The sequence below is a fragment of the Homo sapiens genome, chromosome 1, assembly GCF_000001405.40.
Source record: "Homo sapiens chromosome 1, GRCh38.p14 Primary Assembly".
NCBI classification, from domain to species: Eukaryota; Metazoa; Chordata; class Mammalia; order Primates; family Hominidae; genus Homo; species Homo sapiens.
In genome coordinates this window covers 200234248-200248452 of record NC_000001.11, presented here as the reverse complement: position 1 = coordinate 200248452, position 14205 = coordinate 200234248, and the positions used below count along the sequence as shown (strand labels likewise).

The 14205-nt window shown below is 37.7% G+C and overlaps 1 long non-coding RNA gene across 1 annotated transcript; it reads left to right on the top strand.

Moving 5' to 3' along the window:
* On the top strand, positions 1 to 6815 carry LOC124904479 (uncharacterized). The gene is made up of 2 exons (XR_007066782.1): positions 1 to 5069; positions 5183 to 6815. It is a non-coding gene; the product is annotated as an uncharacterized LOC124904479 (long non-coding RNA).
* The last annotated feature ends 7390 nt before the right edge of the window (positions 6816 to 14205 follow it).

Genomic DNA, 14205 nt, shown 5'->3' with positions numbered 1-14205 from the left:
TTAAAGTCCTTATTGACAATATATTTTAAAATATCTTTTTAAGTAAGATGCATCAAATGCATTAGGCTGCTTAGTTATTTAATCTGATGTCTTTATTTCCTCTTGCATACCTGTGTATTTATTACAGCTGAACATGAGGGTATTTGGTGTATGCATATTACATACAGTATTTCCTGAAGGTTAATAAGAATTTCTATTTTCAAATAACCATCACAATGACTTCAGTGCCCTGTGGACATCAGTCTTCTGGTGGCAACCAATAGCAAACAGATAGTTCTTAAGGTCTGTAGTACTAAGAAGAGTTTCACATTCATGGCACCACATGAATAAGTGAGTTTTGGGACCCAAATGTTGCTTTGAATTAAATGTGGTACAAAGAAAAATTTGACTTTTTAGAATATCGTACTGTTTGGAAACAGATACCTTTGGACGCTGCCTGCTTTGCAGGAAACACACTTATTTAGTTTTTAAACTAGGACTGGTGTTTAGTTAAATCTCCTGCGGACTCAGTTCACTGAAGGTGACAGAAGTACTCACTCGAACTCAATGAGAAGTCGACGCGACTGTAAATTTTTCAGGCAGCGACAGGAGATCTTGTTATAGGAGTCAGAACGGGGGTCAGGGCAGAGCCTGTTGATGATTGAGGAAAAGAGAAGTAAATTCATTCTGCTTCAGGCACTTTGTCAAGTGCCAGTAGCTTACCATTGAGAGCTAGTCACCCGTTCTAGTCTTACAGCCCCAGAGGTCACTCATTTGATATAAATCATAGCACCGCATAGGCGCGGCAACCTATTGCCACTCGGGATGAAATAAAAAAGAGGAATGCTGCTTTCGGAATGGAAATGACTACGAATATCCCACCACATGTTGCTGTTTAATGCAATATGTGGTTAGATATTGATCTCCCGAATCAAGTCATTAAAATGTGCAGTTTTTGTTTATTGGAATGAAGCAATTAAATGGTTCAGTTATGCCAGACCTTACCTTTTCTGATGAAAACTATTGATTTCTTGCCACAGCTTTATAAGCGACAATGTTTTTGATTACTCTTGACAAACCTCCTTGGAGTGTTAATTAAAATCGTACCAGATGAGCAGGTGTGGGAGATCATTAGATCGCCCGGATCACACATCTCCACTTCATATTCTGCAGCCTTGCATAATGAATAGGGCACAAGAGGGGAAAAACAATATCTTCATCAGCAGAATTAGCATCTTCACTTTTTAAAAAACTAGGTGACATTACATTTTATAGTACAGATGCTGTTGAATCATTGGCTCATTCCTACCACTACATTTGATCAAAATTTGCTTTTTATGTTTTGCTTTAATTTTTTGAGTATCTAATGAGTTGCTGTTGTTGGTTCTGAGGTAGAAAATATTTAAACACTTATTTACACAGAAAATTGAGGAATCAAATAAAGCTCTTTCACTGCTTATGCAGATGAAGTCATGAATATTAATGTGGTTCATTTAACACTTAAAAAAATCCCCTCAGTAAGATAGCCTCGATGTGATTTTTAAAAATCTTTTACTACTTATTTTTGGGACCTGTATAAAATATGATTATTTAGAAATATGCTCTCTTGAAGACTGCAGTCTGTTGATTTACAATAGAACTTTTTTTGTGGCTATTAAAAGATTGTTACATTTGAAAAATCAAAAATACTTAAATGATAATTTATAAAATCAGAAGCAAATGATATTCAGTTTTTGAGAAATGAATAATCTTTACATTGATGCCATTTATTATGGAAGATGATTTAATTATTACTTCATTAATATGGGCATTGAAATGGACTTTTTTTCGTTTTTGTATAATGCAAGGAATTTAGCTAATTGGAATTAGATTTAAAATCCTCTGTGAACTGGTGTCTATAGATAGAAAGACAGCTTGTATTTCTCAGAATCATAGGACCTGAAGAGAACTTTAAGAGGTCATCTAATCCAATCCCCTGCTGCCAAAGTAGCTGTTTAAAAATGCACTATTTTTCATTAGTCTGGAATTTTAAAAAGGATTAATGAATTTATAAATGTATTATTTACAATGTTCTGATCATGTACGTCTAACTGGAGCTGTTAGATTTTGAAATAATAAGTTGTATGTGTGTGTTTTAAAATATTGACTTCTTCTAGTAGAATGATTTATGGTTTACAAAGTGTTTTTCCATTTATATTCTTTCATTTGATTAATAACCAAGTTTTACATCTCAGGAAATGTCTTATAATTTTTTAAATGAAACTCTGGCTCAGTTTACCCAACTGACTTAGAAATATTTATATAATCAAATTATTTGATGTTACATTGTTGTTTCATAGCTGCTATTATGGATAGCTTCTAGAAAGCATAAATAAACCCTAAATTGTTATTTCTATCTTATAGGTGAATGTTATTTATGTTTTGTAGGTGAAATATAAAGTTCAGATAGAGCTTCAATCCAATTTTCTAGTACTAAAATCTCATTTCCTATTTCTAACAAGTCCCACAAATACTAATTGTGCTCTACCAACCACTTAAGCAAAATATTACAAATAATATACATATAACTTTGTAGAATCTCAGAATTCTAATCTTAGAAACTATATGTGCTTTGTATTTCTGCATAACAAGCCACCACAAAACATAGTAGTCTATAAGAAAGAAATTATTTAGTTTGCTCATGAATCTTCAGCTTGGATCTCATCTCTGCCCTATGTGGCATGGGTGGGTCAGCTGACTCGGGGCTAGAGAATCCGTTTTCAAGATGGCTCACTCTGATGGTTGGTGAGTTGGTCCTGAATGTCATCTAGGAATCAAGCCAGAGCTGGGGCCAGGGACTTTCCATGTGGGCCTATCTGTGAGGCAGCTTGCGTCTCCTCCCAGCCTGATGGCCGGATTCCAACAGAACAAAGCAAAAGTACATGGCATTTAAAGAAATCTAGCCTTAGAAGGTGCACAGCATCATTCTCACTATATTGTTCGTTGAGGTCGTCGTAAATGTCTTCTCAGGTTCAAAGAAAGGGGGCACAGACCCCAGCACTTGCAGAGAGGAGCACCAAGGTCAGAAGAGCTTCTGGAATGGGAGACGTTATGGCCATCTTTTGAAGACACAATTTGCCACAGAAACTATTTGTTCACTCCCTTCATGTTACATATATTATCTTGGATATGGCTTAATTTGAGAGAGGTAAAAGTAAATGGAAAAAAACAAACGTGATTCTAATAATTCAACTATAGTTATTCTTTAAAACTATATGCTTTAAGTTTTATTTCAAAGAAAAGGGCATAAAGATAGGTCATTTTAAATAAGTTTTGAGTATAAAAACACTTTGAAATCTATTATGTTAGATACAAAGGCAATAAAGACTATGAATTTTTAAAAAATCATAATAATTGTTTAATCCACATCTACTTCACCATCCTTTGGAAAATCAGTTAAGTTCTGATGAAAATTTCTGTTTCTGAAAATTTTAACTATTTGGTCATTTGTTACTGTTGTTTATTGTTATATTAGAAACTCATAGTGGTTTTTTTTTTGTTGTGACAATTGTGCTTGATGTTTGCTAAGACTCAAGATTGCTGCACTGTAGAATTACAGATGCAGAACCCTTAAGGGTTTTTTCATTCATTCAATGAACATTTATTGTGCTTCTATGATGTACTGTTCTAGGCACTTCAAAAGTTATCCTGAGAGTAGTGCACAATACATGCAATAATACACATATACACATGTATATTTTATTTACCAGACGTAACAGAGAATACTCTTCCAGTAATCTTCTCTGTGCTCTTTTTCTTTTGAACTATCGAACACGGTTTTTTGCTTAATTTGTAATCATGAAAAAATTAGGAGATAAACGCAATCTTTAGAAACTATTGGAAAAGTTGTCTTGCTCTTGACACGTAATTAATCCATAAGTGGAACTAAGAATCTTTGGTATAATTTGTTCAATACAACATAGAGATCTCTCTCAAAAATAACTTATTTATCTGTCTATTAATGTATCTTAAAAATATATTGTCATAGATCCTTATTTGCCTATATAATGACTTTACATAATTAAATTTTCAGTAGATTTTTGTCTAGTGACCAATTTTGATCAATAACCATTTGTTGAAACAATTCACTGTAGCAGGCATCTTTGCATGCACTGTCTCGTTTAATCCTTAGATGAAATCTATGATGGGATATTAGTATCCCCATTTCATAGATTAGTCTATCTGGTTCTCAACGTTTCCCCCTTTCCTACAGGCTTTTCCTTACCTGTTTCGTGCCACCTAAGATAAAGAAGGAAAGGGTGACGATTGTGGTACTTGTTAGAACCAAATGTTATCTAAATCATGGTACCCAGAGTTATATCAATCATAGATTTCACCTATACATAAACTTTCTCCCCTTCATTTCGACTTTTCATTGAGATCTGGCAGGACACCAAACACAAGAGGTATCATTATGTTTCCAGCATGAACAAGAATCTGAGATCAAGTTGTTATGATACAGGTTGAGCATTCTGAATCAGAAAACCTGAAATTCAAAATCCTCCAAAATCCGAAACTTTTTGAGCACTGACCTGATGCTGCAACTAGGAAATTTCACACCTGACCTTATGTGACAGGTTGCAATCAAAACTTTGTTTTATGCACAAAAGTATTAAAAATATTGTATAAAATTACCTTCAGGCTATCTGTATAAAGTGTATGTGAAATATAAATGAATTTTGTGTTTAGACTTGGGTCCCATCCCCAAGATATCTCATTATGTATATGAAATATTCCAAAATCCAAAAGAATCCGAAATCCTACAACACCTCTTGTCCCAAATATTTCACATAAGGGATACTCAACTTGGACATCATCTAGTTTCTATGTTTTCTGTAGTGAGGTAAAATTGCATTTATTAAATCATTTTTAAATGATGTAGTAAAAAAAAAAAAAAAAGAAGTCAGAAATATAATTGTATCTCAAGCGATCCCAGCTCCATCATGCCTCATCTGTGTTTCACCAAGCAGCAGCAACAGCAGTGGGTTCGAAGAGCTCCAGAAGTGCAAATTTAGCATTTCGCAGATGTTCCAATAAAGCCAAACTGGCTGGTAAGTGAGTCAGGGCAGATTTTTAAGCCCTTTCTTTGCTCTGCAGGGCGCCAACTGTGCTTGTGTAATCTTTATACAAAGTAATGTTGATCTGTTTCGTTCTCTTTTTGCAGTGGCATTTTTCACTTGAATGATTCTGCTTCGTGCAACATCAGGATAAGCACGCGGAGGCTTCTTTGCATTAGAAAGTAAACATACGTATGCACAATTGCACACCACACAGTGGTTCGTGCGGGTGGAGGAGATTGTGCTTTTAAGGAATAATCTCTCCTCTTCAGAAAACTAACCGCTTTATATGTTTATCGGGCAGATTTTCTTTGGTGGTGTTTTAATGGCTTGTTTGTCAGACATGTTGCATATTAAACAAGCAAAGCCTGGCTTCTCTTAGGATCCAAGGTCCTCTTTATTCTCTCCTCCATATTGGAAATCATTCCTGTCAGCTCGTGCTCTCCAAGCTGCCTGGAAGAACTTTGGCATAGTTTTCCTAACCTTTCAAACAGTAAAAGCAAAACTCTCCTTTGATAAAAAAGCCGGAGGACTTTGGCATGTAGCCATAAAGGATGCAGGCGACTCGGCTGCGATCTGACAGAATAATCCACAAAACACTGAAAAGTTCTCGTTAAGGTCCCCAGAGTGGGCTGAGGCACTTTGCTTGTACTTAACATATATCAACTGTCACCCGGCGGCAGTCAGTGTTGAACTGAACACAATGGAACATCCAGATGGTCTAAACAAAGCGAACAAATGTTCACTGCTATTAAAAGCTGTTTACATCAACTTCCAGGATTTCATGTAGTGAAGTTTATATTGTGTCACTACTGAGGTGCTTAGCTCTGTCTGCATTGAAGAGCGGCCTTTTAAAAACTCCTGTTGCTTATATGCTCATGCTCTCAGCACCTAGTGGAAAGTGAAGTTGAATAGTAAGTTAGGAAATTGCATAATGTCAACTAGTCATGCAATTTCAGACATTTTAAGTGATTTGCCCCCATTCTGTTATATTGGTCATCTATTGCAGCCTCAGCTCCAGACCCAATAAACACAAAGCAGACCCTCTTCTCTGATGGGGGTGTGTCATGGATGGATGGATGGGTGGGTGACCGCTATCTGCTTCTGCAGACAGGGCCTCTGAGTCTCGTTGGCTCCTCACTGGGGATGTTTACGCAGTAATGGTTTTGTTTTCTTCCTCTAAGATGCTGCGATATCAGATCCTGTCTTATTGGGGATTAATATACATGAGCGATAAACCCACACTTTTTCTGTCTTCTTCCTTTGACCTCTTTATGGCATCTCTTTTACAAATTCCAGACACACTGCCTACATTGTTAAAGATTTGTTGTTGCCATTAATAACAATACTCATATAAAAGGTGTCCAGCTTATTTATGGTTAAAGAAGAATCTACAAAAACTGTCCCTCTTTATTAATCACTACCAATTCCTCTTGGCATAACATAGCTAAACGAATAAGTAAATACTAAAAGAATACTATTTATTAATTTGCTCTACAAATCATAGTATAACAAAATAGACCCTCATACATGCAAGCTCATTAATTAAAATAATTATTTTCTATATAAACATCATTTTAACTCAATTTTATGTTACATTTGTGTTAAATTTTACACACCCCCAAAATAATCGTATATCATTTGTTGTCATTTTTGTTGTTACCATACTTTTTTATTACCATGAAGACTTTTTAAAGAGACGTGATCTCATAAATGATTAAACTCAAACGTTTAAGAAAATATGATTTGTTGGCCTTATTTTCACCAGAAATGAACTTTTGTTTTAAGATCAAGATGGATATTGAATAATGTCATATGCCATGATACACAGCTGAATTTTACTGATGATATGTATGTCCTCAAAGAAAGATTGATGTGGGCTCCTTATGAGCTCAGTAAAAGTGGATTGATCTCTATTGCATGGGGAAACTTCTGTCTTCACAGTTGTTCTGGTAAATGGGATCATTTCAATACATTTGGTAAGGAACGGGTTTGGATCTGTATTTTTTTATAGGGTTATAGGCCTCCTTCCTTGCATAATCACATGAGATTCAAAGTTTCAGATCCCTTGCTTCAGTTTAGAGAAAAATATATTGTCTATAAAAAGCCAAACTAGTATAGTAGACGGCGCGTACACAATGATACTAATACACAAGGAACAGCACAGCCCTCTCTAGAGAGCTTTTAAGAGTTGGGAACTTTTCACTGACAATAATTTTGTTAAATACTGTGTCAAGAGGCAACATGAAAGCTATGAAAACATCATGTGCACCTCTATAATTTGGATTAGGGAGATACTTGTATTGGTTGTTGGTATGTGTGGTATTTTTCACAAATGTCTCAGAGCAATTGGATAGGATTTTGGAAATATGGACCGTACAGATGTGAAAATAAAAAGTAACAAAACAAGAGCTTCAGCTTTTGCCGGGGGTCAAGCACTATGCCCACTTCAGACGAGCCATTCCAAGCCTGTCTGTCAGTCCCAGCGCAAGCTGCTCCATTTCCTGTTTATGCCTGTGCAGAGTTCCACATCCGGGCGAGCTTGCCTTCAGCGGCAGGTTTTTCCGCACGCCCCAGGAGAGCTCTTCCTTAAAATGGCTCATTATTTATCATCTAAGTAAGCCATTGGAATTTTGTTAATTCCTGTTTTACTTAGCACATGCAAAATGCTATCATTATCTAGGAGAAGATAATGTTAACTTAAAATTGTTACCCAGAGTACTAATTAAGTGACCTTTGCAAAACAAATCTGGTCAGGGAGTCTATGAAGTAGAGAAGACAGATGCCAAGTTTATTGCCTTCCAGGCCCTTGGGTATATAACCTAGGGTTAACAGCAATTAAAACCTGGCTAGTTATTTGAAGAAATGCTAGCACTTTATCTTTACTCAATTGCTTAAAATGTAGAAATCTCTTTGGCTTTGGCCAAATATTGAATTAGCTGAAATTTACCCGGCATCCTCCTCGTTCATCTCGTCTCTTTCTAACTCATAGGTATCCAGGTTCTTCGTTATTTCTGTCCCATCTACACGTGGAGAGATTAAGATAAACTAGTTCACACTCCAGTGTAAATGATGCTTGGCTTAATAGCCTTTCCTAGGGATATTTGTATTTTAAAAGAAGACAAAAGTCTAAGCTAAGAAAATAAAATTCTCAAATTTTAGGCGTTAGTTTGCTTGGTAGGAGAGGTATTTCTGAGGGTAAGCAGAAACTTCTTAGCACCCCTGTATATCAGTCCCCCCGTAGATCAGCCCCTGAAATTGATCCTTAAAGCCAGGTCTACATTGTATTGCCTTCCATTCATTAGATGGTATGGCACACTTAAAAAAAATTCAAATTTAGAATTTAGTACATGTTTATGTAGTGAGAAGCTACAAACTTGAGGTTTCTGTTTTTTCCCCCCCTGAAAATCTTCTGATGACCTCATTTCTTATTTATTTATTTATTTTATTGTTTTAGAGATGAGGTCTCCCTATGCTGCCCAGGCTAACTTGAACTCCTGGCCTCAAGCAGTCCTCCTGCGCAGCTGGGACTTCCAGAGGGCACCACCTCACCTGGCTCATTTCTTAATTCTATCTCAAAAGAAGGAGTCCCTTGTTTGCCATTTTTTTAACTTATTCTTTCTAAAACATACTACTTCTTTTCAAACATTTTTTTGAATTACATAATATCATTTTTATCAATGTTACATTTTCTTTTAAATTTTATTGACTCTTTAAAAAGTACCACAATAAGTTGAATTATCACCCCAGTTTCCAATTTTTCCCTTTTCACTTACTCCTATGAGCCAACCAAGGGTGTTTTGGGTAACATGTGCCATTCAAAAATTTGGGGAATGAAAAAGTATGAAGTGTGTAAAATGTTTGCTGATAGGCTGTTATTAAAAAGCAGGGTAAAATGAACATTCTGATTGAAGATTTTTGCTTATTAATGATTTTGATTCTATGACATTCACAATATTTATTTACAGCTTCTGCCTTAATTATTACACTAAGAAACATTTTTGCTTTGGAGTAATTGATGGAGAAATCTTTCAACACATTGCACTCTGATTTATAAAAGAGCACAAGATTAAAGTTGGGAAGATTGTATTAATCTGACACTAGGTCTCCCTGTAACATACCTGATATATGGTGTGATCACAGTAAAGATGTAATTAAAAGTCAAGAGAGTATATCCCAATATAATTGCAAAAAAAAAAAAAAAAAACCACCAAAGATTTAGTGGCTTTGCAAATAATTAAAAATGCAACACTTATTTATCCTTTTTCTCTTTCTTAAAATTTTTTTTTGTTTTACTTTGCCTTTTCCCACACATTCTAACACTCATTTATTTTATTAGGGCTGAAACACATCCAAGTCCAAATATAAGATTTGATGGAATTAAAAAGCTTGTAGCTAGAATATTATGGTACCCTCTTGTCACTGGGCCTTGAGAATGTATTTAGTAATCAAAGGCTTGTGGTCTGTAAGGGGTCTTCTAGTTCTAATACTGTATGATTTGGCTACTTCCCCCAAGTTACTTCCCCACTCATCTGTAGATCTTTTTTCTGACAGTCCTTATTGTACCAAGGTTGCCCCATTATCTACAGCTCAGAACTATTTACATTTAGAATACTGAACAATATTGCTTACTTACTGTCTGTTTTTTACTAAAAAATTATTCACGAATTGTCATGATTCTGTGTTATATGGCTAATTGATTAGAAGGCAGTAAAAATTCAGTATCTCAATGAGTACTCCACAATCAGCCATATTTATAAACTTAGTTTCATAAAAATAGAGTATGATGCTCTGTTGGCCATAGAATGACTAAACACTGAAATCCTTCGAGAATCACACTCATGTTGCGTGACGCATCAGCACACATGTTTTATCTATCATCAAAAGGGCATCCCATTTAAGGCTTTTCCCCATGGTAATCAAGGTTAAAGTCAGAGAAAAATTGTATTCCCTTCAGAGGGTACATCAAGATGAGCTGAATAGTTTCAGAAGACTGGCCTGCTGGACCAATTCTTTTTTATGATAATATCATTTTAACTAAATTTGACTTTCCCAACTCACTGCCAAGATGTTTGTTGACTCTTTTCTCAAGCAAGCCTTGATTTCTAGTAACTTTAGCATGGAGGAAGGAGTATAATAAATATTTCTCTTATTATTACAATTTATCTTTTTTCAATTGCTTGTTAAAAAGACTGTTATAAGATTTATTTGCTTCATTGCTCACAGTTTCAACAGATTTTTAGTATTTTAAAATCATTTTAATTCATTCTTTAAATGTTAGAAGCTGTAAAATAAGTTGTAGTGTTCACAAATCAATTCTTAGAAATGGCCAGTTTTCCTAACTTTGCTTTTGACACTTCACACTTCTTGTCCTTTGGAAAGCCATGAACATTTTTTCAGTCCACGAACGGTTATTTAGACCTATTATGTGCCATTCATTAGGGACACAGTGCACAGTGGAGTAAGTCACAGTTTGGGAGCCTAATGTTTAATTAGGGGAGGTAACAACATTCACATTACAGTGTGAAGGCAAGAGGAGCAAGTAGGTGCTAGGTGCTGGCTTTTAGTGCAGGTTGAGTAGCCCTAATCGGAAAATCCCAAGGCTGAGACACTGCAGAACGTTTTGATCTCCAACATGATCCTCAAAGGAAATGCTCATTGGAATAATGAAAACATTCTGGGCTGGGTGCGGTGGCTCACTCCTGTAATCCCAGCACTTTGGGAGGCCAAGGCAGGCGGGTCACCTGAGGTCAGGAGTTCGAGACCAGCCTGGCTAACATGGCAAAACCCTGTCTCTTCTAAAAGTACAAAAATTAGCCAGGTGTGGTAGCAGGTGCCTGTTATCCCAGCTACTCGGGAGGATAAGGCAGGAGAATTGCTTGAACCCAGCAGGCAGAGTTTATAGTGAGCTGAGATGGTGCCACTGCACTCCAGCCTGGATGACAGAGCAAGACTCTGGTCCCAAAATAAATAAATAAATAAATAGGATCCTGAAATCAGAATTCTGAAGCATTTCAGATCTTCTGAAATCAGAAGATCCCAGGCATTTCAGGTGAGGGATATTCAGCCTGTACCTGGAAGAGTTGGGGAGGAAATGAAACCTGACTGAGTCAGTAAAAATTAGTCATGTGAGTGTGCACAATATGGAATAAAAATTTCTGGCGGAAGAAGCAGCCTGTACAAAAGCGTGAAGGTAAGAGTGCAATGTAAAGAACTAACTATGGTGCACGCGGGAGAAGAGGAAGAAAGGGCTTCAGTCGGCAAGGCAGGGCTTGAATTGTGAAGGCTCTTTCAGCAAAATAAGGAGTCCCTGAAGGATTTTAGGTGATCAGATGATGTGATTAGAGAGGGGAAGGTTCGTAGTTAAGAATTAAACCATGTGGGTTCGAATCCTATCCCTGCCTGTCACATTAAATGCTTTTGTTTTCCTACTTGTATACAGGGTATAACACTGACTCGAAGGGCTGGTGTGGGGATTAGATGAGTTAATACATGTAAAATACTTTAATAGTGCCTGGCACACATGTTCAAGAATTCTGTTGTTATAACTCTGGATTGGATGGTGAGAAGCTGGGGTGGGGAAATGGATTACCCTTTTGTATTAATCCAGGGGAGAAATGATGAGGATATTACTAAGGCAACGGCAATGAGGATGGGAAGAGATGGTAACAATGGATTAGTGATGTAGAAGGTACAAGCAGCAGGATCTGGTGATCCACTGGACGTGGTGGGGGGTGGCAGGGAGAAGATCTACTGCAAGAGAGGAAGGGTCACAGCTGGCTCCTAGGATTCTGGCTAGGGTTTCTGGGTGGGTGGTGGTGGTAATCAACTGAGATAGAGAATGTAGGAGCGGGAGCAGGTTTTTGAAGAAAGACACTGAGCTCAGTTTCTCTTTGAAGTGTTGGTGCTTTGTCACTTAGTATCTGGCATATGGGATTGAAGCTTAGGAAAACGGTTCTTGCTGGAGATATAAATTTGAACTCATCAGCTATGGGTGGCAATTGAAGCCATATGCATCAGAGTACTTTGGACCGCAAGTAATTGCAGAAATACAACCCAAAAAACAGAAGAGATTTATCAGCTCAGAAAAATTAAAGGGCACCAGAGGTAAGGTGGTGGTCAGTCTTATTTCACTTGGGGCTCCAGCCTTGCTTTTCTGATGTCCTCTGGCCTCTGCATGCCTTCTCTGTGTTGCCTTCTCCTCTGACTGGGGGCTGATGGTTCCATTAGCTCCACGCCTCATCAATGGGTGCATTCAACAATGCCCCCCAGAAAAGAGACCATATTTTGAAATGTCTCTCTTAAAAGAACAATGCACAGAAGCCTTTTCCAGGACACTGACCATGGGTCCCATGCCCATTTCTGAATCAATTTACTGGGTCAACAGATCACTGCGGTTCCTGAACCTGTCACTGGCAAAGAAGACAAATTAGCCTAAGACCAGGCCCACCTCCCAAGCTCTGGGTGGGCCCACTGTTCTAGGCACATGAGGGAGAGATGGACGGTTGAATGAGAACTGACATTCTGTCAGGAAAAGGAAAAAGATAGCTAACTCACAAGGCACACCATACTGTGGAAGTGGATGAGCTTCCCAAAGACACCGTGAAGCATGAGAAGAAAAGAAGGGCTAGGACTGAATCCAGAAAAGAGTCAAGCTTCAGGGGTGTTTGAAAAAAGATTCTTGGGTCATTTGGAAAATGCACCTTAACTTTTGTTTGACTCTCTGGTTATATCAAGCAGGGTTATTTTGCATGCTACAGAGTGGGTTGAGAAAATCAACACAGGGGCTGGGTGAGGTGGCTCACGTCCATAATTCTAGCACTTTGGGAGGTTGAAGCAGGAGGATTGCTTGAGCCCAGGAGTTGGAGACCAGCCTGGGCAACATAGGAAGACTGCTTTTCTACAGAAAATTTAAAAAATTAGCTGGTTGTGGTGGTGCATGCCTGTGGTCTCATCTACTTGGGAAGCTGAGGTGGGAGGATTCCTTGAGCCCAGGAGTTTGAGGCTTCAGTGAGCCACTGCACTCTAGCATGGGTGACAAAGCAAGATCCTGTCTCAGAAAAAAAAAAAAAGAAAAAGAAAAAGGAAAAGAAAGAAAAGAAAAGTAACATAAGAAATAGGTCATCGAGAAAAAAGGGTATTATTGAGTACAGCGAATCATGATAACTTGTAGGAAATCTTGTTAGGTCATGTGCTAATATATGAGTAATAACTGCATTTATTGAGCTTATATGTTTACAATATTAGTAATACCTGCATTTATTGAGCTCTCTGTGCTAGGTTTGATGTCAAGTCCTTATTTAGTCTTTCCAGTAACCTTTGAGAATTTTACACTCTTAGGAACATCATCATTTACAAGTGACAAGACTAAGGCTCACAGATTATGTAGCTCAAGGTCTCATACTTAGTAGATGGCAGAGGGGAACTTGAACCCAGGTCTGACTGCCACCAACATGTGTGCCTAAGCACTGCTCTTCTGCATTTTTGTAGGAGGAAATTAGCTCATTATTTAGGATCTGCTGTGTCTTCCTAACTCTCTGATCTCCTTGGAGCCTTTGCCTTGGCCACCTGTAGAGTCTTTAGGTTGATGCTTACATGTTGGTGGAGTTTCTAGGCATTCTGCTTCTCCCTCTGATAGGTCACTACAGTTCTTAAAGTTGAAGGGGAGGCAGAGGCTATTGGCAAAGGCAAGATACTGTGTGGATTTCAGAGTTCCTTGTCATTTGTTGTATTTTCAATCTGAACAGAAACCAAACTGAAGTCTCCAAATCCTAGGATTCGAGAGGGAGTCATTTTTGCAAGGAGTCTATGATTCCCTATGTTTGTGGGGAAGCATTTTATGTGGAAAACCAAAAACCCATGGCCTGGTATATACAGAGCTTTCAGGAAATGGCAGCTGTAGGCCCATGACTGAGAAGTTTGGCTTCCCACAAAAGCTGGGCCTTGTGCTGAATGTGACTGATACTGATGGAGTTTCAGAAGGATTGCAGTGGAGACGAGTGTATGGTCAGAATTACATTTTCTAGCCAGATTATCAGAGTCTATTATGCATTTATATGGCCAAGAAGGCAGGCAGAAAGAGCAGTTGGGAAGCAATTTGTGATAGTGTAGGAGAGATTTTGGGGGCTAT